The sequence below is a fragment of the Homo sapiens genome, chromosome 6, assembly GCF_000001405.40.
Source record: "Homo sapiens chromosome 6, GRCh38.p14 Primary Assembly".
NCBI classification, from domain to species: Eukaryota; Metazoa; Chordata; class Mammalia; order Primates; family Hominidae; genus Homo; species Homo sapiens.
Window position 1 is genome coordinate 584,496 of NC_000006.12, and position 22,700 is coordinate 607,195.

The 22,700-nt window shown below is 41.5% G+C and overlaps 1 protein-coding gene across 18 annotated transcripts in view, besides 2 other annotated features; it reads right to left on the reverse strand.

The window, feature by feature from the left end:
- EXOC2 (exocyst complex component 2) overlaps nucleotides 1-22,700 on the reverse strand; it is a 207,986-nt gene that overhangs the window by 99,342 nt on the left and 85,944 nt on the right. For all 18 annotated transcript variants that reach the window (NR_073064.2, XM_017011022.2, XM_017011023.2 and 15 more), the window contains 4 exons: nucleotides 14,585-14,730; nucleotides 14,365-14,446; nucleotides 13,526-13,628; nucleotides 7,974-8,092 (listed from right to left, as the gene is read on the reverse strand). Coding sequence is in view for 17 of the 18 variants with exons in the window: in XM_017011022.2 (XP_016866511.1) it covers nucleotides 7,974-8,092; nucleotides 13,526-13,628; nucleotides 14,365-14,446; nucleotides 14,585-14,730 (450 nt within the window). In the remaining variant the exon portion in view is untranslated. The remainder of the gene's footprint in view (nucleotides 1-7,973; nucleotides 8,093-13,525; nucleotides 13,629-14,364; nucleotides 14,447-14,584; nucleotides 14,731-22,700) is intronic.
- Nucleotides 20,251-20,320: an enhancer, noted in NCBI's record as "active region_23855". NCBI's record gives its function as "activates an Ori minimal core promoter by ATAC-STARR-seq in GM12878 lymphoblastoid cells {active_cell/tissue: GM12878}" and the evidence as "EXISTENCE:reporter gene assay evidence [ECO:0000049][PMID:35858748]".
- Nucleotides 22,593-22,692: a silencer, noted in NCBI's record as "silent region_16815". NCBI's record gives its function as "represses an Ori minimal core promoter by ATAC-STARR-seq in GM12878 lymphoblastoid cells {active_cell/tissue: GM12878}" and the evidence as "EXISTENCE:reporter gene assay evidence [ECO:0000049][PMID:35858748]".

Sequence of the window (22,700 nt, forward strand, 5' to 3'; positions counted from 1 at the left end):
TTTCTTTCAGCAAGTAATTAATACTCTAGTGAGTGTCAGAAATTATTAAAAGGGTAGATGTTTAGCACAGCCTGTTATTCAGTTTTCTTTCTATAATAGCTCCACCACTGTGAAGACTCGAAATAAACCACTCAGATGGAACATACCATCTCTAAGTTTTCAAAGAGAACCTGAGCCAGGTATAAATGTCTTTTCTTCTGCTCTGCGGCTATTCTCGAGAACTTACTGCTTACTTAACAGTGTGGCCATGTTCTAAATGTTGCCTACTGAACCCTAATTCTAATGATGTCCTTTTAGAAGTTCTAATTAAGTGCATCTCTGAAAGAAGGTAACACTTTCTCTATGAGTAGCCTGATGCCTTCTCCCTTAAGTTATCAGACATAGCCAGCATATATTTTAACTCACATTCAGAACAAAGAAAAAAACACCTTTGAAGACCACCTTTAAAAATCCTGTTTGTGAATGTCAGTAGGGGGTTAACCAAAGGCTTTTCCTGGCAGGAAACCTCTGAAGACGCAGTCTAATTTTGGACCTATTTCACAGGAATTTTAAGAGACGGGTGACACTTCTTAATAAGGTAGTAAAAGTTTAACATGTATAACAATTCAGAACACAAGGCTGCTTTGAACATAGGGGAAGAGAAGCAAAATGGTTAACCTGTTCAGGCTGGACAAACACCATAAACTCTTCCATCAGTATTTAGAAGGTTTCAAGATGAGTTTTTAAAATATTAACCTTAGTTTTGCTCTTGTTTTTCCCATCTTTTTCCACCCTTAGAAAAACCTAAATGATCACATTTGGGCTACAGAGTTAGAGGATGCAAGAGGCATGTGGAGCGTTTGGGGGTAAAGGACCAGGTGTGTGAGGTGCAAGGGTGAGCTCCTGTCCTGGCCTCGTGTTATACTCCGAAGGGCACCATCTGCTAGCACCAGTGTATATTATTACTACAAAAACGAGTCCAGACAAGGATCTAATGCAGGACTCATAGAATTATCAACTGTACGGCAAACTCTGCTGCCAAATGCTTCATCTACAAAAGGAGCTTTCTCGGAAAAAGGTAGCTTTGTATGTAGGACTGCTGTCTCTGAAAATCTGTCACCATCTTTGCTCATAACATTTTCTCTGAATACCACAGGGCTACATACAATTAACATTTTTTTCCCAAACCACCAAAGTGAAAAGCAAAAGTCTTTGCTTTAAAAAAGCAGACTTAAAAAAATATTTATATGTTAGATTTCTTAGATTCATGCACAAAGACCACATTTACTTTAAACAGACATCAAGAATTATTTTTCCGTTTGAAATATTTATAGTCTATCCATTTAAAATTGCATTTCATTTCACAAAGCTATTCTTCTTCTTATCCATTGTTCTGCTAGTGGATTTACCTAAACAACTTTACAGTGTTAGTAGTCTAAGTACAGATATTATAATAAAGGAACTACTTAAAACTTGTTTTCTTTATATTGGAATGTAGTAAGCTTTCATTTTAAAAGCAGGCTCCTGAGAAAACCCGCATAAAAACAATGTAGCTTTATAACAAAGTACCAGATAAAATGTAGGCAGTCCTTTTACCGCAGATCATTTGTAAGCAATTTCTTACGGTAGTAATTGTGTTTTCAAATGCTCTAGCCTTCAGTAGACAGCTATAATCAATTCAAGGAAACAGCAGGTGCCAAGCAAACAAGTAAGTACTCTGTCACCGAGCCCCGGGCATCAGAAAATAACCAGACACACTCGAGTCAAGAGAGAGGTGGCATCCGCTGCAGGCTGCCGGCTCTGAAGCTTTACATCCAATGTATGTGCCATGAGTTCCTTTGGCTCTGATGGGGGCACTGCGGGCCTTCCCAGGGACAGCCTTACATTTCCCAGGATCCCTCCTAAGGGACTGGATGCTCTCTCACTCACCTCCATTTTCTTAACTTGCTCATTCTCAGAGCATTTATTTACATTGCACATATAATTTTAGAAGTGAGTGATGAGGTCTGTGTAAAATTTCCTTAATAGAATTCACCTATGTATAGCAAAATAGCATAAAAGTAATAAAGACCAGAAGCACTTCATCGAGCTTGGCTAGTTTCAGGTGCAGCTCTTCATGAATCCCCAAATACCAGCCAGCCTTCCCTTACCAGGGGAACGCTCACCTGCTCTGACATCACATTGAGAAATCCTGTTTGATGCAATATTTGCTCCAACAATGTAACTCAGAGGGAGGTGTTCAGTAACCTATTCCATAACTCACTGGTCTGGAGGGAGTGTGATCAGGTGAGAGGGGGAGTGACCTGGACACCCACTAGTCCCACCCCTGCTCAGGATACGGAGGACGTGTCTGGACACCCACTAGTCCCACCCCTACTCAGGATACGGAGGACGTGGGTCTGTCCTGTGGCTTCTCTGAGACACCTTTGTCACATGCGAAATAGAGCTAAAGGCATCCACAAAACTAGACAGTTTCCCAGATTTCTTCCACATCTAAAATGTCACAATTATGAGAGGATGCTCAAAGGAAATTCCAAACAATATTTAGTAGGCATTCCCCCATATTACCTTACATTTATATTATATATAATTAGGACAATAATAAAACATCCACCAAGGGTCCCTAGTCAACAACAGTTGTAGATCACACAAAAGAAAATTTGTGTGTATTCCCAGCAAACTTATAATTAAGGCAAATATTTTATATAAACACACGCACACATACACAAACATAGATATGACATTACCTGTAGATGTAAATGTAGATATGTGTATTTTTTTTTTTTTTGAGACGGAGTCTTGCTCTGTCGCCCAGGCTGGAGTGCAGTGGCACAATCTGGGCTCAGTGCAAGCTCCGCCTCCCAGGTTCCTGCCATTCTCCTGCCCCAGCCTCCCAAGTAGCTGGGACTACAGGCAAATGCCACCATGTCCGGCTAATTTTTTGTATTTTTAGTAGAGACGGGGTTTCACTGTGTTAGCCAGGATGGTCTCGATCTCCTGACCTCATGGTCCGCCAGCCTCAGCCTCCCAAAGTGCTGGGATTACAGGCGTGAGCCACCGCGCCCGGCCATAGATATGTGTATATTAAAGTTAACATGTGTGCAATGACATACACATATAGAAATGATCACATACAGAAAAACACCGACATGCAAACTGGCCAAAGCACACTCTATTTCACTAATGGCGAATCCTCCTTCCATCCGAGGAAACGTTCTGTCCGCGTCTGTGCCGCATTTCATTTACCATTTGCCTGTGCACTGAGTATCAGCTCAAGGGCAATGCTATCGATGCACTCAGAAAGATACTGAAGAAATTAAACTTTCTGAATTTGAAACTGGAGTATTTCATATTTAAAAAATATTCATATTTTAGGTAATGGTCATGGTATTTTGGCTACAGTTTTTAAAAAGAATCCTTATTTCTAAGAATTACATACTGAATTAATTATGGATAAAATGATGTGATCTGTTTTAGAATAATCCAGGGTGAGGGAGGGGAGAGAAGCAGGTAAGACTGGCTATGAGCTGATAAAATGAGATTGGCTATGAGTTGGTAACTGCTGAAGTCAGCGTGAGTACATGGGGTATTGTTACATTATCCTTTCTGCTTTTAAATATAAGTGGGATTTTCCAAAATTTAATAGTGAAAATCGCTTCTGACCTAAGTTCAAAAAACCACCCCAATTTTCCAGTTAAAAGCCTCTCATGTGCTAGAATTACCTACATTTAGATTAGCAGTGTTTACTGACAATGACAGAGGGAACAGTTAAGCATGTTCTGAATGTCAAAAGAAAAAATAAAATGTGAATTTAAGACATTTATATTGTATTGTCATTAAAACTGTAAAGTTCAAAGAGTTGTAAGGAATTGTTTCCACTTTTTTATTTTTTGAGATGGAGTGAGTCTCACTCTGTTGCCCAGGCTGGAGTGCAGTGGTACGATCTCGGCTTACCATAACCTCTGCCTCCTGGGTTCAAGTGATTCTCCTGCCTCAGCCTCCTGAGTAGCTGGGCCTATACCTGGCTATACCACCATACCTGGCTAATTTTTGTATTTTTAGTAGAGACAGGGTTTCACTATGTTGGCCAGGCTGGTGTTGAACTCCTGACCTTGTGATCCGCCCGCCTCGGCCTCCCAAAGTGTTGGGATTACAGGCGTGGGCCACCGCACCGGCCCTTCACTTTCTAATGAAAAGATGAAGTAATGAAAGTAACCTGAGGCACTGCTCCCATTCCACGCACATTCTTTCGATTATTTCCCAAGTGATGAACAAGGTGCGCAACAAGCTTGCTCAGAGTAAGTGAGTTACAAGAAAGCTTCTGTCACCTTTTTTTTTTCCAAAACACTGATTTTAAGCAATTTAGAATGAATATATATAGCAATAAATTAAGATGTCAGGGAAGGAAAGATGACGGTGTGTTTCCCTCTATCTTTGAGAAAGATTCAGACCTTTGGTGATGGAATACTGGTTATCAGATATTTGAGGTAAAGATATGACGAGATAGATGAAATTTTCTGGAATTTTTCCAGTTTCAAAAAGTCCATATGTTGTCTTCATAAATTACACACATATTCCAGAAATTCAAATATTTTCATACCAAATTAGGTATTCAGTTTGTTTCCTGAAAGTATAAGTAGGAAAATCCTTGGTCAGACCACATATCCTATCTGTATCCAGTGAATATGGTGACTGCATTCATCACCACCTTTGCTGGAGAGCAGTGACATTTGTCGAGCACCCGCACGGTGTCTGGAACGCTTCTCAATGCCGATCTAGAGAACTGACCGTCGAGCACCCGCACGGTGTCTGGAACGCGTCTCAATGCCGATCCAGAGAACTGACTGTCGAGCACCTGCACGGTGTCTGGAACGCTTCTCAATGCTGATCTAGAGAACTGACTGTCCAGCACCCGCACGGTGTCTGGAACGCGTCTCAATGCCGATCCGGAGAACTGACTGTCGTTGTTTAGGTTCAACTGAGATTTCACCTCCTCTAGAAAACTTCCCTGGACTTCCCCTCAACCGGACTGCACCCTTCCTATCATACATTTTCATACAATTTTGTACTCCCCACTACCTCACACTTTTCACTATTCCAACTGAATACATGCCTATGTGATTTTTTAGATGGTGTGTTTCTCCCTAGACCACAAGCTCCAAGAGGCCAGCTCGCACTGCACTTCCGGCTCCTGGCACAGCAGCCAGCACCCTGGTGACCAGCCCTGGCTGCACATGAATCGCCCGGGAGCTTGAAATTGCCTGGACTCCAGCCACAGAGATTAGAATGTGCTTGGCACGGAGGGAAGGGGTAAGGCCAAGAATTGATAACTGGTTGTTAAAAAGCCCCAGTGGACGCGTGGTAGCTCACGCCTGTAATCCCAGCACTTTGGGAGGCCGAGGCGGGTGGATCACGAGGTCAGGAGATCGAGACCATCCTGGCTAACACCGTGATGGGGTGAAACCCCGTCTCTACTAAAAATACAAAAAAATTAGCTAGGCGTGGTAGCGGGCGCCTGTAGTCCCAGCTACTTGGGAGGCTGAGGCAGGAGAATGGTGTGAACCTGGGAGGCGGAGCTTGCAGTGAGCTGAGATCGAGCCACTGCACTCCAGCCTGGGCGACAAAGCGAGACTCTGTCTGGAAAAAAAAAAAAAAAATCCCCAGTGGACTCTGATGGGCCCTTAAGGTTGAGAGCTCTGCCGAACAGAGTAGACTCAAAAATTATTGGTTGAATCAACAGAGAAATAAATATGTAAGGCTTTCTAAATATTCCCAAAGACTGCAGACTGTGTGTAACATTTGCTGTCATTTTCACTTGCTAAAAATATAAAATAATTAATGACATTAATGGGGATGTTGACATGGCTTCAGCAGAGATACCTGGGTTTTCTTAAATACCAAGCATAGAAAAAAATGGCATCAGAGCTGGAAAGTACTCAAATCCAAGCCAACTAATTCATGACAAAACTATGCTAGAAAGAAACAACGGCGACCTCTCCATTGTACTTCCTTCTCTACCAAGACTGCTCTCCTGTTACAGCTCCTGATCCTCCCAGGGACCTGATGAGGGCCATTACTCCTTTTCATGTCATCCAGTTAGGGGCTCAGGTCTCAGGCCCTGCATTTGCCAGAGTCACCACCAACAGCGTAAGAGCAATCCTAAGGACATTTCTCTTTCATCTTCTGCTTCATCTTGGAGATTTTGCTGACCACTCCCTTCTGTTTTCCTCCCGCCATGACCACCCCTTCTTCGTTTCCTTTGAAGGCTTCTCTTCTTCTACCAGCCCCTAAAACATCACTTGTCAGGACTCTTTCCTGAGTTTGCTTCTTTTTTCGTCTTCTTGGGTAAATGCACGAGTTCCAAGGGACCACCTGTATGCCCACCAAGCTCAAATTTCTCAGTCTCTAGATCCAACTACTTCCATCTCTACTTACATGTCAGACAACCCCAAGTCAAGCTGTCCAAACAAAGAGGCGGAATCACTTTTCTCCCCTATGTTCCCTAACTCAGTGGCACCATCACCCTAACTAGCTGCCAGTCAGCCATCTGGAAATCACTGCTCATCCCTTCCTCCTCTTCATTTGTCCATCATCCAGCCCTATCAGTTCTATTCCTGAACGGCCCTGGAGTCCATGCTCTTCTTCACATTCCCACCACCTCCACATCAGGTGGGGTGCCTGTCTCCTCACCAGCTTCACTGCTCTGGGCTTGCTCCCTCTCATCCACCCACTATGGGCGGCCAGAGTCGTCATCTTTTCAAAAGTAAGTCTGAGCTTGTCTTCCCCCAATCCATTGACCCCAGCTTAAAATCCGTCAGCGACTCCCCATCGCACTCTGGGTGAAGTCCAAACCTGTCACAGCAGCCAAGAAAGTTCGTCTCTTCACTCCACCTCCACGATCTAAGCTCCAACCACACAGGATTCAGAGGCCTTCTTGTGCTTGTAACCTGTGCACATTCTCCCTTCCTGGAAGTCTTAAATGCTTTCCTTCTCTATTTCAACTGTCAAGTACAGATACCCTTCTGATCTCAAAAGAGATGTCACTCCCTTCAGCTCTCAGAATGTCACTCCCCTGACCTCAAAACCCTGGATCAGAGGCTACTCCTAAGCACTCCAATGTCACTCAGAACTTCCCCAGTCATATGAAACAGCACACAATATTCTAACAGCTGGCTGGTTATCTGTCTACCCTACTATTTTGTGAGCTTGCATGAGCTAGGCCCTTGTCTGTTGTCCTGACTACTGTGACTTTGGCACCCAACAGTGTCTGCAGCATAGCAGGCATTCAATATACTCAATATTCTCCAAATGATAGTATACAAACAAAAGCCAATACACCTGCACACAAATAGACCTTTGACTTCTCTCCCCCAGCTTCCCTCAGGGCCTCCACACAGGTGGTCCCTTTCTCAAGCTGAGATGGCTAGTAAGCTACCTTTTATCCTTCCAGTTCTAATACGGAGGCTTCTCTGAGACATTCCCACACCAGCCATCTAAAGCATTCTCCTCAGTTACTCCCTTTTGGAACATCTTGATTTTCTTTTTTTCTTTCATCACATGTCCCAGCATTTTATTTGGTTAGTTACATGTTTAGTGGCTTTTCCTTCCTCTAGCGGTAACTCTGGGAGGCAGCAGCTATGTCTTACTAGCGATGGGTGCAGTGCCTGGCACAGAGCAGGACTCAACATACACCTGACGAGACGATGTGCAGACTGATAGTTACCAAAGACCAATGTCACCTCCTCGGCATCACGCTGCCTGCCCCGAAACGTCAACGCTGTCCACCAATCGCAAAAACAGACATGATAAAAGAGTTGTCCCTTTTCATTAGTACAATGCTAACCAGTGGCCAAAAAAACCACAAAACAAGCAAAAGACAATAATAAGAGATACCAAGTAAATTAGGTAGTCAGTGCCTTCATCATTAAACATTCCCAGAATGCATCAAAATGACATGAAGGAATCACACAACACATTGGAAGAGAAATCCTTGCCTTTCAGATCTTTCACGTAGCCCTCTTTGCAACTGTGCATGAGCTGAAGGATCCACTTGTGTTGGGCTCCAATGCATTGCCAAGCAGGGTCACCAGACGCATGAAGGTCAGACAGGTACCTGAAAAAGCAAGTCCAAGGTTGAGGCCAAAGGGAAATGCTGGCATATTTTAAAATCATTACTTTTTAAAGGCTAAAATTTTATCAATTAGTCTTGTGCCCTGTCAAATATTAGTCTTTAATATTTAATTCTCAATGAAATATATTCAAATTTCTTGGCTAGGTGAGATGGCTCCTGCCTGTAATCCCAGCACTTTGGGAGGCTGAGGTGGATGGATCACCTGAGGTCAGCAGTTCAAGACCAGCCTGGCCAACGTGCTGAAACCCCGTCGCTACTAAAAAAAAATACAAAAATTAGCCAAGTGTGTTGGTGCAAGCCTGTAATCTCAGCTACTCGGGCGGCTGAGGCAGGAGAATCGCTTGAACCCGAGAGGCAGAGGTTGCAATGAGCTGAGATCTCACCACTGTACTGCAGCCTGGGCGACAGAGTGAGACGCCATCTCCAAACAAACAAACAAGCAAACAAAAAATAAAAAAATAAACAGCAGAGCTTTAAAATTTTTTCATATAAATGATAAAACTATTAAAAACAGCTCTTTGTAAAAAGATAAGGACAATTTGCAGTGATCCTATCTACCTGATGAGCATTTTTCTTTATATTTATATTTAGTTCACAGGAGTTTTTCTACTTAGTTCAGAGTCATTATATTAGACACAGGTGGGAGCCAGCAGATACTGGGCAAATACTTTTAAAATTTCAGATGTTTTTTAATTCCTTTCTGATATGAAATATGGCCACGAGATGGCAGTATGGCACCGCTTTCTAAAACTAGCTAAATGAGGGCTAACCGAACTGTGAAGAGATTTGGTGACAACACTCACCTCTAAAGTCCACACTCACGACTGAGAAAATATTTCTCTAGGAAATATAGTATAGTTCGGTGTTTTTCTTAGTTTCTAAATATTCTTAAAATATATCAAGTCTTTGTCTATAAAACACCCAAATCCATAGAGACCATTTACTTCCATAGAAAAATTTCTGTCAAATATTATTTAAGATTTGGCCCTCAGCCCTCACAAAATATATAAATATAGCAAGCTAAATCCAATTAAATCAACTCCAAAAGCATGTCCAAATGAATTTATTGTCTTAAAACTGTTGTTAAGCCATATGCCATTCTTTGTCTCTGGGTTAGAGGTTTTTGTTCAGTGGTAAATCATCATCAATGGCTCCAGGCTGACCTTGGGCCAGACCTCAATCCCTCAGGGGTGCACCCATGCTTCCAGCCCATTCTTCCAGTAGTGAGTGTGTGTTACTCAGGTATCTCAATCAGCAGCCAATCAGAGGAGAAACAAATCCACTTTGTAATATGTTAGCAACAAATAAAATGCTGAGAACACTGACATTCCCAGCTGATGGGGAGGGACTGGGTGCTGTGGGGAGCCGGATATCCAGGCATCTGCAGACGGGCCACACTCAGGCTGCCCAGAGGTGGCTGAGAGCTGCCATCTCCTCCCCCTTGTGACCACCTACAGGTTGCAAACAGGATGTGTCTCTGTGCTGAGAAAGTGGCAGGTCAATTAGAAGGAAGAGCTTTACTCAGATTAAGAAGTCACCAGCACTCCTCCTCATAAATGAGAATAGTATCCTGAGAAGAAAACTACAATCTAACAAGTTACATTTAGCTTGGCACAGGGGATTCATTTCAGATTCCAAAATGCAGTCTGATTCTTTCTCTCACACAAGGCTTTCTTCTTTTATTACCTGAACGATAAATATAACAAATAGTACACTGTGTCTTTCTTCCCAAAGAACGTGATTCTATGCTTTCTTGCTGGGGATGATGCATTTCAGCGTTCTCCCTAAATAGGCTTGTTTTGCCTCCCAACACCTCTGCAACGCTTTCTCCTAACACTTTCACTCACGTAGCCCTCAGATTTGGTGTTAGTAGTAAAATAAAGAGATACTCTTTTAGGGACGGTGTTCCTTTTAATGTTTAAATTACTGAATAGGAGTGTAGACAGTTCCGTACAAGGGTTCTTTCTCCAGGAGTACAGCAAGAGGAATCAATAAGCTTTGCTTAGTGGCTTTTTACATTATACGTCTCTTTAAAATGTTGACTGTGTCCTTGCAAAACCTAATAACAAAAGACTTTTTCTATCATCTTATTAACGGGTATTAAAGTAAAGGAGTTTATAAAAGTTTTACAAAGCAAGATAAAGTTGTTCTTTTAGAAATTCTAGACTCAGTTCAAAAGCATGACAACTTGTGCTGGGCTCTTCAAATAAGTTTCTTGTTTCCTTTCAGTATGCAGCTAAAAATAAGTAGTTACATTTCAAAACTCTGTTTAGAATGATACATGTTATCGCCATTTCTTTTAAAACTGCATATTAAGAACACTTTAAAAAGGCTTTTTAGATTCAAAAGCAATGTAAAGAATGTTAATTATGATTAACACAGGCTCAGTATTTTAAAATTTAAGAATAAAGGAAGTTTTTAGTCATATTCTGACATGATCTTCTCACAGCTACCAGGGATAAGATCACACTGCTGTGGAAAGGAATATGCAGAGCTTTGCTTCCTGCCAACATCAAGATAGAAATAAGGAGAGGGAGAAGAATAGGGAAGGTTTAAATTAGATAAAATAGTGAATGATATTAGAAAAAATTGTGAACAGTAAGACAATATAGTGGTAATCTGATTTTCCCCTCTACTATGCATAATCTGGATTATGTAAGAAAACTAATACATTTTTGTTCATGATAAAGCTATCTCTATTCCTACTTGATGCTCATAAATTTCAAAGTCCAACAGGTATTTGACCTGGTTCTGATCTTATTTTTCTATTTCTTAGCGACTAAAAATTTCATTTAAAAAGGTAACAATTGCTCAGTATTTTCTCAAAGCATCGTAAATAAAATAATCATTAACAAATACATAAACTATTGTTGACTTGTTTATATTTTTGCTCTTTTGCCTTTAAGATGACAGGAAAAATCGTAGTTAAAAGGCTCCTTAAAAGAATCTTTTTTGGCACTACCACCTTTTAAACGATATCCAGTAAGTTATATACTCATAAAAACTGCACATGAGTTATCCATATAGATGGTAACCCACAACATAAAGAATTTGTACACTCAACAAGATTTAACACACTACTATAGGCAAGTTTAACATAACAAGTGTAAACAGGCCAGAAATATACAAAGCACACGCAGTGAAGGAGCAGGGCAGGAAACAGCAGCCTCAGGACGTCTGAGGCTACCCAGCTGCGTGTCCTGGACACTACGCTCAACCTCCCTGCAACTCTGTCGCTTTCTAGGTAGAAAATAAAGCAGTTGGATGACAAATGTGTGGTTTATTTCCAGCTTTACATTTCTAGGATTCTACAAACCAGGAAAATCCCCTATATACATTCTTTCTTATGGAGGCAGCTTAGAGAGAAACAAGAGTGGGCTCTGAAGCCAAACAGGCGTCCCGTCCCCCGGGTCACTGTGTGTGCTGGGCAAGCTTCCGTGTTTTCACCTGTACAATGGGCACCGCACAAGCGTCCTTTCATGGTGGTGATCAGGATTAGAGAGGACATGTAGAACACATCCCGCACAGCGCCTGAGCATGCTGCACACGTGCAGGGGTGGCAGCATGCAAACACAGCACCCTCTCTTCATCCCACCGCCACTGCCTCTGCTTGCTTCCTCCTGGGCAATACTAGTGTGCTGCCAATGACGACGGCTCATACTCCCGCCGTACGCCTCATCACTAGGACACAGGTCCAGGTGCGGATCTTTTCCCCCGTTCACACTTGCACACACAGCAGCTTTCAGGCCAGACGCTCTTTTCAAGACAGTCTTTTCTTTTCAGAGACAGGATCTTGCTGTCACCCAGGCTCGAGTGCAGTGGTACGATCACATCTCAGTGCAGTCTCGAACTCCTGGGCTCAAGAGATCCTACTGCCTCAGGCTCCTGAGTGGCTGGGTCTACAGGCATGCATCCCCGCATCTGGCTAATTTTTGATTTTTTGCAGAGACCAGGTTTTGCTATATTGCCCAGGCTAGTCTTGAACTCTTAGACTCAAACAATCCTTCTGCCTTGGCCTCCCAAAGTGCTGGGATCACAGGTCTGGGCCACTGTGTCTGTTCCTGAGACATTATTTTCAAAGGTCACATGGGGACCACAGCTAAATTCATAAATACATAGTCTGTCATTTTACAACCACTGAATAGTCAATAAACTTCACTAATTCAAGTGGAAAAACCATTAAATTTGGAAAATAATTTATTCTGAGAACAAAGGCCATACTCAAAAAATCCTAGCAGAAAATGAAGTTAATATTTTTAATCACAGATATAAAAAACTTAAAATTTATATGCTTTATCTCCAAACCCTGACATAAACTACATGTACATAAAATTTACTGACTACTTTTTATGTGCCGGGTGAGGTATTAAACCCTTAAATGTATTTCTGATTATCTTTGCAACTATCCTGAGATGCAGATTTGATTACCATGTCCATTTCAGATGAAGAAACCGAAAAATAGAACTCAAGTCGGTTGCCCAAAGTTAACAGCTAGTTCCCATTATGTGATACTGTTTCTCTCTAAGGCCTTCTCTTCATATCCTGTGAAATTCACCTCTCTTAATATCACTGCAAATTTTTTTTTTTAAGACAGAGTCTCACTCTGTTGCCCAGGCTGGAGTGCAGTGGTGTGAGATCTCGGTTCACTGCAACCTCTGCCTCCCGGGTTCAAGCGATTCTCCTGCCTCAGCCTCCTGAGTAGCTGGGATTACAGGCGCACATCACCATGCCAGGCTGATTTTTGTATTTTTAGTAGAGATGGGGTTTCACCACATTGGTCAGGCTGGTCTCAAACTCCTGACCTAGTGATCCGCCCGCCTCAGCCTCCCAAAGTGCTGTGCTGGGATTACAGGCATGAGCCACGGTGCCCGGCCCAATATTACTGCAATTTTTTAAAAAGTATGCTCACTTAGTGACTTTATTTCTCTTTCACTGACCACTAAAGGCTTGGAAATCAGAAAGCTATTCAAGGTTAAAACCTTCCAGAACTTACTGTGCTGTTAAGCAGCAGCACATTCTTGTGGCATAATGCATTTCCCACCCAGTGTGTGACAGTATTCTGCTTTAAGCCATGCAGGGAGCCCCTCCTTCACAGATTATGGGTACCCACACCATCCCACTAGGCAAGGTACCCCTTTGCTCAGCAGGAGGAAGAGGTTGAGACTACTTTTCCTTTCCCGAAAATGGCAGAGTTTTCTCAAAAAGTGAGTAACTCCATAACTACTCCCAAATCTATTAGTATTCAAAAGAATTTTGATGTCCTACGCCAGATAACCCTAAATTTCTGCTATTTGTCTTCCCCTTCACCATTTCATCAATCTCCTAAAGTCCCTCAAGTTAGCCTTAAGGGTTACAAGATGCATACAGTACCAAACAGATACATGTGATTCAACAAAATGTTTGCAGAAGATTTACCTTATGTAACGTTTTTGGTCATGTAAAGTTGATGGTGTCTCAAGCAATTTATCCAGAAGTAATTCTCTTAAAGCTTCAATCCTTGTTTCTACTTCAGCATAATCTATTTAAAAAGAAAAGAATACACAAGATTTACAGAATGAAAATTTAATATCAAATTTCAAAAAGCAGAATAGTAGTTGCTTTTGTGGGGTGAGGGCTAAGAGGCACCAGGGCCGTGTCTAGAGTGATCAGAACACTATCTCCGATGTAGGTTACAAGGGTGTACATATTTGTCAAAACTCACTGACCTCTAACATGTGAGGTCTGTACATTTCACTGCATGTATATTTTACCACAATAAAAAAATAAATTTAGTTTTCTGGGTCCTTACAGATTTCATTTTTAAATTTAATAAGGCCCTGTGATATTTCTCCTGGTGGACTGTAACTCTGGCATTAGACATAACTTCAAAAGTTGCTGAGCTTCCTTTAAAGGAGGTTGGAATTCTTCAGTCTATGGGTCTCTCTGAAGACGGGAAGATTAAAATGTAGGTTTCCATCTCTAGAAAATACTTGTCATTGATTCCTTCCAGTAAACTAAGACTTTCTAACAGCGTGATGGTTAACAAACGGCAGAGAACGTCTCAGGCGAACAACCTAGAGTCGTGGTTGCTCATTTTCACTGCGTATCAAATAAGAAAAGTCATACTGTTATTTCTGAAGTAATTGCTTTACATTGTAAAGAGAGCCTCATATAAACAAAAACTAAAAACTCATATAACATTCTTTGCAGAACACATTCCACATTCTTCCTATAAAAGGAAAGGAGAAGATCTAAAAGTAATACATGAATCTTACATTTCTTGAAAACTTGCACCTCCGTTTTCCCAAAAAGTGACTTGGCCTTTTCATAATCATTAATAACCACATCATAATCACCCTTTAAAATAAAGAAACATTTTGAAAACTGTCAGTAATGCAAAATGAAGACATTTGGTTAATATAAAAAACATCTTAAAAAATCTTAAAAATGTATGACATCTACAACCATATGTAAATAAATAAACATGTACTCTACCTTTTGAATATTCCTTTCAATATTTAGAGGAAGGTTGAAAAGAAACTTAAATCGCTGAAGCACATTGAGTGCATTTCTAGTGGAATCTGCCTTGTCTTTCCGACCTAATACTTCTTGAAACAATGTGTCTGCAGTATTACTTGCTCCTGTTTTAAAAAGAGGAAAGGAAACTTAGATGAAAGCTGATTTTAATCAGAAAATGTGTAACTGGGCACTAGAAACAAAATGTTAATACTGCTATTGTAGTTTTACGTTAAAACTCAGACTGTTTTTCAGTTTAGGGGATCTTTTATGGTTTGCTAAAATAAAATTTCCATTTTGCCTAAGTCTTTTCATATGTTAAGAATGGTATCCAATATAAAAAGCACCATATTTACCATGCCCAAATAAATTCTCTAATGTGAACCTACATTTATTTTCATTACACTTCTAAACTGTATAGCAATTATGGGCCCTTAGGTTATTTCAGAACTTCATACAATAGGGTAAAACACACACATACGCATGTATGTGCATACACGTGTACATTAGCTAAATTCTGCGGACTCAATATCTACATATGGGACAATAAACAAAACAAGGAAATCATTTTCAGGAAAGTTGCTCAATAGAAATATTTAAAACAAATTCTATTCCTTGGCAGAATTACCTCTACGTAGCAGGCAAAGAAAATTATATAAGTAATTTACAAATGACAAATGTGAAGGCAGCATCATGAATATTTCTTAAATCAGCTAATCTTATAAAAGTATACATGAGCTGCACATTTCCTAAGTTTTTTTTTTTTTCACCTAAAAGACCCCAAACCATATGAATCACTGTAATGAAAGAGTTGCTTTATTTAAAGCAAAATTTGCTGTGTACAAAAACAGTTTAAATTTTGCAACTTGTGAATTAGTTTTAATTCCACAACGAAAGGAGAGAAAAAAGATAAACTGTTTTTGCCTGTTTGATCGCTGCTTGTAAAAAGTTTCTGCATTATCTGGTCTAGTGACTATACTTTAAGCAAAGATGAAAAAATTGCCTCAGTCTCACTGGGTGGCTCGCATGCAATATTCTCTAGAGCACACTGTGGGTGGCCTGATCCTGTTAAAAGTCATCTTTGTAACATGATTGTTTTATCTAAATAATGTTTAAATTCTGTTGAAATTTTAAAGGCCTCATATAAAAACTTTGTTTTGTCAAGATAACTGTTTTCACCACATGCTATTTAAGTAGAATTCTACATTTCTATTATAAGATGAGAAAAAATATATTTCCTTCTTGCCACCAAACCACACAATGGAGGCTAAATTAGTATTTGAAATCTGATTAGGGTTAAAACTTTTGGTCATCAAAGAAAACTATTTTAAAGTATTTATCACTTAAAAAATATAAATTTCAAGAATTGAGGCTCATAAATGAATAGATATGTAAAGGAGACTAAATCTTTTTAAAAGGTTAATTACTTATATGTTAGGTTTGGATGTTAAATCACCAAGCACTGTTGTTTTACATTTTTTATTAGTTTTTAGTATAATGAAATTTGGGGCAAAAAGTATGAATTCAAAATTAGATTTTTCTCATCTTATTAAAGTCGTAAAATATTATCAACTAATAATTTTAACTTCTCTAAAAAGTATGAAAACAAGTACAGGAAGAAAACTCACTTATAATTAAATAAAATAGAGACAGAGAAAAATTTATATGCAGAAATTATAAACTATAAAATTATGTTTATTTATGCCAAAATACATGTACTTATATGTTGAAAATTTTATGTGAATACTGACAAATTATAAGTTATGAGATTATAATTTTTAATTTAGAGATAACTTCTGTCTGTAAATTACTGTTCTGCTGTAAATTTAATTGTATTCACAATAAAACTGAAGTTCCTAACTCTGATTATCAGATAATGTATTCAGTAATAAAATACATGAGGGCAGTGAAACCAAGATTTGTGCAAATAGATAAAAATCACCAGTAGCTCACAAAATGCATTTTATGTCTTTCTTCTTTAGGGCTACTAATAAGAAAACAAAACTATTGAAGAAAAGGGGTGCTCTTCACATGTGAGGCTGATGTCACAGATAACGCCACCAGGAAGGCATCAACAAAGGTCATCCCATAAAATCCCCTTGTGCGAATCCACACACATTCTCACACCAAGAACACCCCGTGTACGAATCCACACACATTCTCACACCAAGAACACCCCGTGTGCGAATCCACACACATTCTCACACCAAGAACACCCCGTCTGCGAATCCACACACATTCTCACACCAAGAACACCCCGTGTGCGAATCCACACACATTCTCACACCAAGAACACCCCGTGTGCGAATCCACACACATTCTCACACCAAGAACACCCCGTGTGCGAATCCACACACATTCTCACACCAAGAACACCCCGTGTGCGAATCCACACACATTCTCACACCAAGAACACCCCGTGTGCGAATCCACACACATTCTCACACCAAGAACACCCCGTGTGCGAATCCACACACATTCTCACACCAAGAACACCCCGTGTGCGAATCCACACACATTCTCACACCAAGAACACCCCGTGTGCGAATCCACACACATTCTCACACCAAGAACACCCCGTGTGCGAATCCACACACATTCTCACACCAAGAACACCCCGTGTGCGAATCCACACACATTCTCACACCAAGAACACCCCGTGTGCGAATCCACACACATTCTCACACCAAGAACACCCCGTGTGCGAATCCACACACATTCTCACACCAAGAACACCCCGTGTGCGAATCCACACACATTCTCACACCAAGAACACCCCGTGTGCGAATCCACACACATTCTCACACCAAGAACACCCCGTGTGCGAATCCACACACATTCTCACACCAAGAACACCCCGTGTGCGAATCCACACACATTCTCACACCAAGAACACCCCGTGTGCGAATCCACACACATTCTCACACCAAGAACACCCCGTGTGCGAATCCACACACATTCTCACACCAAGAACACCCCGTGTGCGAATCCACACACATTCTCACACCAAGAACACCCCGTGTGCGAATCCACACACATTCTCACACCAAGAACACCCCGTGTGCGAATCCACACACATTCTCACACCAAGAACACCCCGTGTGCGAATCCACACACATTCTCACACCAAGAACACCCCGTGTGCGAATCCACACACATTCTCACACCAAGAACACCCCGTCTGCGAATCCACACACATTCTCACACCAAGAACACCCCGTGTGCGAATCCACACACATTCTCACACCAAGAACACCCCGTGTGCGAATCCACACACATTCTCACACCAAGAACACCCCGTGTGCGAATCCACACACATTCTCACACCAAGAACACCCCGTGTGCAAATCCACACACATTCTCACACCAAGAACACCCCGTGTGCAAATCCACACACATTCTCACACCAAGAACACCCAATTTTAAGGCAGCTGGTAAGGGTTTGAACATCAGTGTCCAACCACAGAACAAGTCCACCTGGAGTGGATGGCCATGACTTTGGCCTCATAGGCTGTAGGACAAACCCTGATCTCTATTTGCCAGCCTTGGGCAAACCAAGGTCTGGAACTTGGTCCTTTCTCCTCACCCAAAGATGGTCTCCAGCACCAGTGAATTTGGACAATGCCTCTCACTGTCTCGGTCACACAGGAACTGCAAGAACTAACAGCAATGATGTAAACACAGCGTGGTTGCCACCAGTGTAGTCGGGTCTGTGGAGCAGTAAAATTTCCCTACAGTGCAAGATGGGAAGGAAAGTCCAGGTAGCATTACACACCAGTCGGTGGAACTCATACCTGCCCAGTGATCTTACATCCTTAACAACGGAACAAACATCTTTGTATGTGCCAGGAACTCCAGTCATCTAGAAAACCTAGTCCTGTAATTCTGATGGTGTCTTATAATTTCAACCATGTTTATTTAAAGTAAATATTATGCTTTCTCTTATTTCAAAGTGACCATTTGGTCCTTTCCTTGGTACTGACACTTGAGACAGATCACGGAAGTGATTTCTAATCTGCTCTCCACTTGCTGTGAATTGGAGAGGTCAGAGGCAGGACAGAAGGAACGCCCCCTCACCTGCTACCCCACCCACCACAGCACAATGTATCCCAGGAATAAGCAAGTTGAATGAGATTAGGAAGTGAAACATTAGGGTGCCTGGAATATCAGAGTAACCCTAAAATGTACAAATTCACAAAGAGACCTAACTACCTCAATTTCAACAGGCTAGAAAATGACGAGATAGGCTGCCGGCTATACCATAACGATGCTATACGGACAGGATCATTAACAGTACTGAAAGCCTGTTTCACAGCACTATGCCTGACACTCTGTGTGGAGTAGATGGAACTGAGGAAAGAGCTGACGTCAGCACGTACCCCTCTCAAGAGCAACTGTCAGTATCTCTTCACCTCCAAGCTGAGTTGGCAGCTTGAAACCAACCCCAATGGGAGTATTTACACCTTGGAAATTGGGAAATGCTAATATTAGGTTAATTTTTTCTATCTTCTTCTTTTTTTTTTTGAATGCATGTTGTGAAATATTTGCCAGCCAGCCACTGAGCAAACGTCAGTTTCTTTTCCACATCCTGGCCCTTCTGGATATTCCCTAGTGTTCCAAATCCTTAGCATTCTTCTTTCATTTTGCACGTGGTACTTGGGTTAAATCATTCAATCCTGTTTGTCCAACTACCATCTTTATGCTGGTGACTCCCAAATCTGTGTTTCAAGATGTGTTTGCGAGCGTAAGACCAATCCTTAAAAATATTTTCACTAGACATGCAATAATGATAGCTAATAATGACAGGAATATTTTCACTGGACATACAATAATGACAGCTAATAACGACAGGAAGCACTGATGCTATGCCAGGTGTGATTCGAAAACCCTCATGGGTATTAGTTCACCTGCACATGGTTATGTCGCTGTAAGACAGGCACTGTTTTTACCCCCGTTTTATGTTGGAGGCAACTGAGACACAGAGGTTATTCAAGTTGCCCAGTGTGACATCATGGGGACATAGTGAGAGCTAGCAAAACCCATCAGCACGACCCTCAGGAATCTCAAATTCAACATGTTGAACTGAATGTTCTCATCTCTATGCCTCTCCTTATGCGCCAAACGTGCTCCTTCATCCATCTGAGGCCAGACATCTGTAAATCACCAATGACTACTTCCTTTTCCCTATGTAACATGTCAAACCTTCCCTGTCCCTTCACCTTTCTCACCTGCCACTCGCTCTACCTTCACTAGCAGCCACGTCACCCTCACGTTACTTTATTCCATTACTACACACATTACTGCTGACCTGGCTTAACATGCCTACCGTCCACTTCTGGCTGCTCTCCTCTTGCCTCTGGCGTACCTCCCTTCTCGTCCATTCTCTATACAGATGGCAGATTGCTCTTTAAAAATCTCCTATCGTTCTGTTAAACTTCTGCGATGGCTCACTATTTGTCTTCAGAATAAAGACAGATTCCACACTACTGCACAGCCAGTTCGTCAGGGGCAGACCTCGTCTACCCTGCGGCCACACCTCTCCTATCTGCACACAGCCACACTGGACCCTGCTTCCTGGGCTGCGGCCTATCTCCTCTCTGAACTCACGCGCTGGCCCTGCGGGGACACACCTGCCTCCCTCCACTCAGCCACCCACCGCTGGCCTCTGCTTGTCTCTGAACTCACGCGCTGGCCCCGCGGGGACACACCTGCCTCCCTCCACTCAGCCGCCCACCGCCGGCCTCTGCTTGTCTGGGTACTTCCTGCTCCTCTCTTAAGGCTCCTGTGTCCTCCCCTGGTATTCTCTGCACTCAACTTTTTGGCTTGCTTCCCCTTTTGTGGGCTGTAGCCACACCTGAGGACTCCCACCAGAGCAGTATTATCAAACCATCATTTGATCACCTGAATATGTGTATTTTCCATTCAGTTATAATCTCTAGAAGTAAAGTACAAGTTTTATTTTTATATCCCTAGGATAAAACAAACATGTGCTCAATAAATGCTTACAGAGGAAGGACTAAAAATTGCTGTCTGAATCAATGACCAGTATTCTTACTACTCAGAGAGGTGGTACAACACCCCATGGGCAGGCCTGGCTTTGCACAGTGTGCAGGGCTATGACAGGGGCTGTGCAAGCTAAAATCCAGCAAGACCATCTAATAATCAATGGGAAAATTACATTTGTTCTGTGATATCCAAAAACGTTTGTTGAAACATTAAAAACTCACTTATTGTTGGTTACGAATGAATAACAATTTTTTAAAGTACAACTAATATTTAATATACAATTTAAAACATCAGAGATTCAACTTCTTCCTGGTTTAGACTTGGGAGGGTGTATGTGTCCAGGAATTTATCCATTTCTTCTAGATTTTCTAGTTCATTTGCGTAGAGGTGTTTATAGTATTCTCTGATGGTAGTTTGTATTTCTGTGGGATCGGTGGTGATATCCCCTTTATCATTTTTTATTGCATCTATTTGATTCTTCTCTCTTTTCTTCTTTATTAGTCTTGCTAGCGGTTTATCAAGTTTGCTGATCTTTTCAAAAGCCAGCTCCTGGATTCACTGATTTTTTGAAGGGTTTTTTGTGTCTCTATCTCCTTCAATTCTGCTCTGATCTTAGTTATTTCTTGCCTTCTGCTCGCTTTTGAATGTGTTTGCTCTTGCTTCTCTAGTTCTTTTAATTGTGATGTTAGGGTGTCAATTTTAGATCTTTCCTGCTTTCTCTTCTGGGCATTTAGTGCTATAAATTTCCCTCTACACACTGCTTTAAATGTGTCCCAGAGATTCTGGTATGTTGTGTCTTTGTTCTTGTTGGTTTCAAAGAACATCTTTATTTCTGCCTTCATTTTGTTATGTATCCAGTAGTCATTCAGGAGCAGGTTGTTCAGTTTCCATGTAGTTGAGCAGTTTTGAGTGAGTTTCCATCAATGACAGACTGGATTAAGAAAATGTGGCACATATACACCAGGGAATACTATGCAGCCATAAAAAAGGAAGAGTTCGTGTCCTTCGTAGGGACATGGATGAAGCTGGAAACCATCATTCTCAGCAAACTATCACAAGGACAAAAAACCAAACACCGTATGTTCTCACTCATAGGTGGGAATTGAACAATGAGAACACCTGGACACAGGAAGGGGACCATCACACACTGAGGCCCGTCGTGGAGTTGGGGGAGGGGGAAGGGATAGCATTAGGAGATATACCTAATGTAAATGACGAGTTAATGGGTGCAGCACACCAACATGGCACATGTATACACATGTAACAAACCTGCACGTTGTGCACATGTACCCTAGAACTTAAAGTATAATAATAAAAAAAAGAATCTCCACATCACAAGAAAAAAAATAAAAAATAAAACATCAGAAACATTTAAAATTAAAGCGTCATATTTCTTTGTAGAAAAACTTATCAAGAGTGTTTGCCTTCTTTTTTGTTGTAATATTTACAATATGAATCAAGCCTCTTTTCTGTGCTCTGACAGATTATCCTGCTCCTTTCTAAGCGTGAATCAACTTCTGATATTTTTTCCTTTGCACCGTCCACATCATGAAACATCTCTGAGGTTCTCTGAGCATTGCTTCCTTTGGGACATCTCATGCTTTTCTTCACATTTGCTCACCTTTGTTGGGAAGTTCCCCTCCACTGAGTTACTCTTGAGTCTCAAAGACAGGAGGACCTACATCCCCACAGCCAGCTATTCCTTCCGTCACTCTCCATTTGGTGGATTTGCGTTTCACTTCCAGTGTTAGAGCTTCCTGGTTTTTGATGCACTTTCATCTTTATCGACCAATCCCTTCCCGATCATCCATTTTTGTAAAATGTCAGGAGGGTTTGTCACTGGGAGATAAGGAGGTAGCACAACTGCACACTTTGCTGTCTGCTGAGAACTGGTAACAGACGTACAGTGACTATCGCTGGTGGCCTTGAAGGAGGCAGTGTGGCTGATCATCCAGAGCACCTGTCATTTACACAGCGACGTGTGAATTAAAGGGCTGGAGGGGAACTGTACTTTATGCAGCTATGGTGACTGCCCTGTGGGAACCGCAGTTCTCCACGGTGTTGCTGGGGGACGGCTGTCATGAACTGA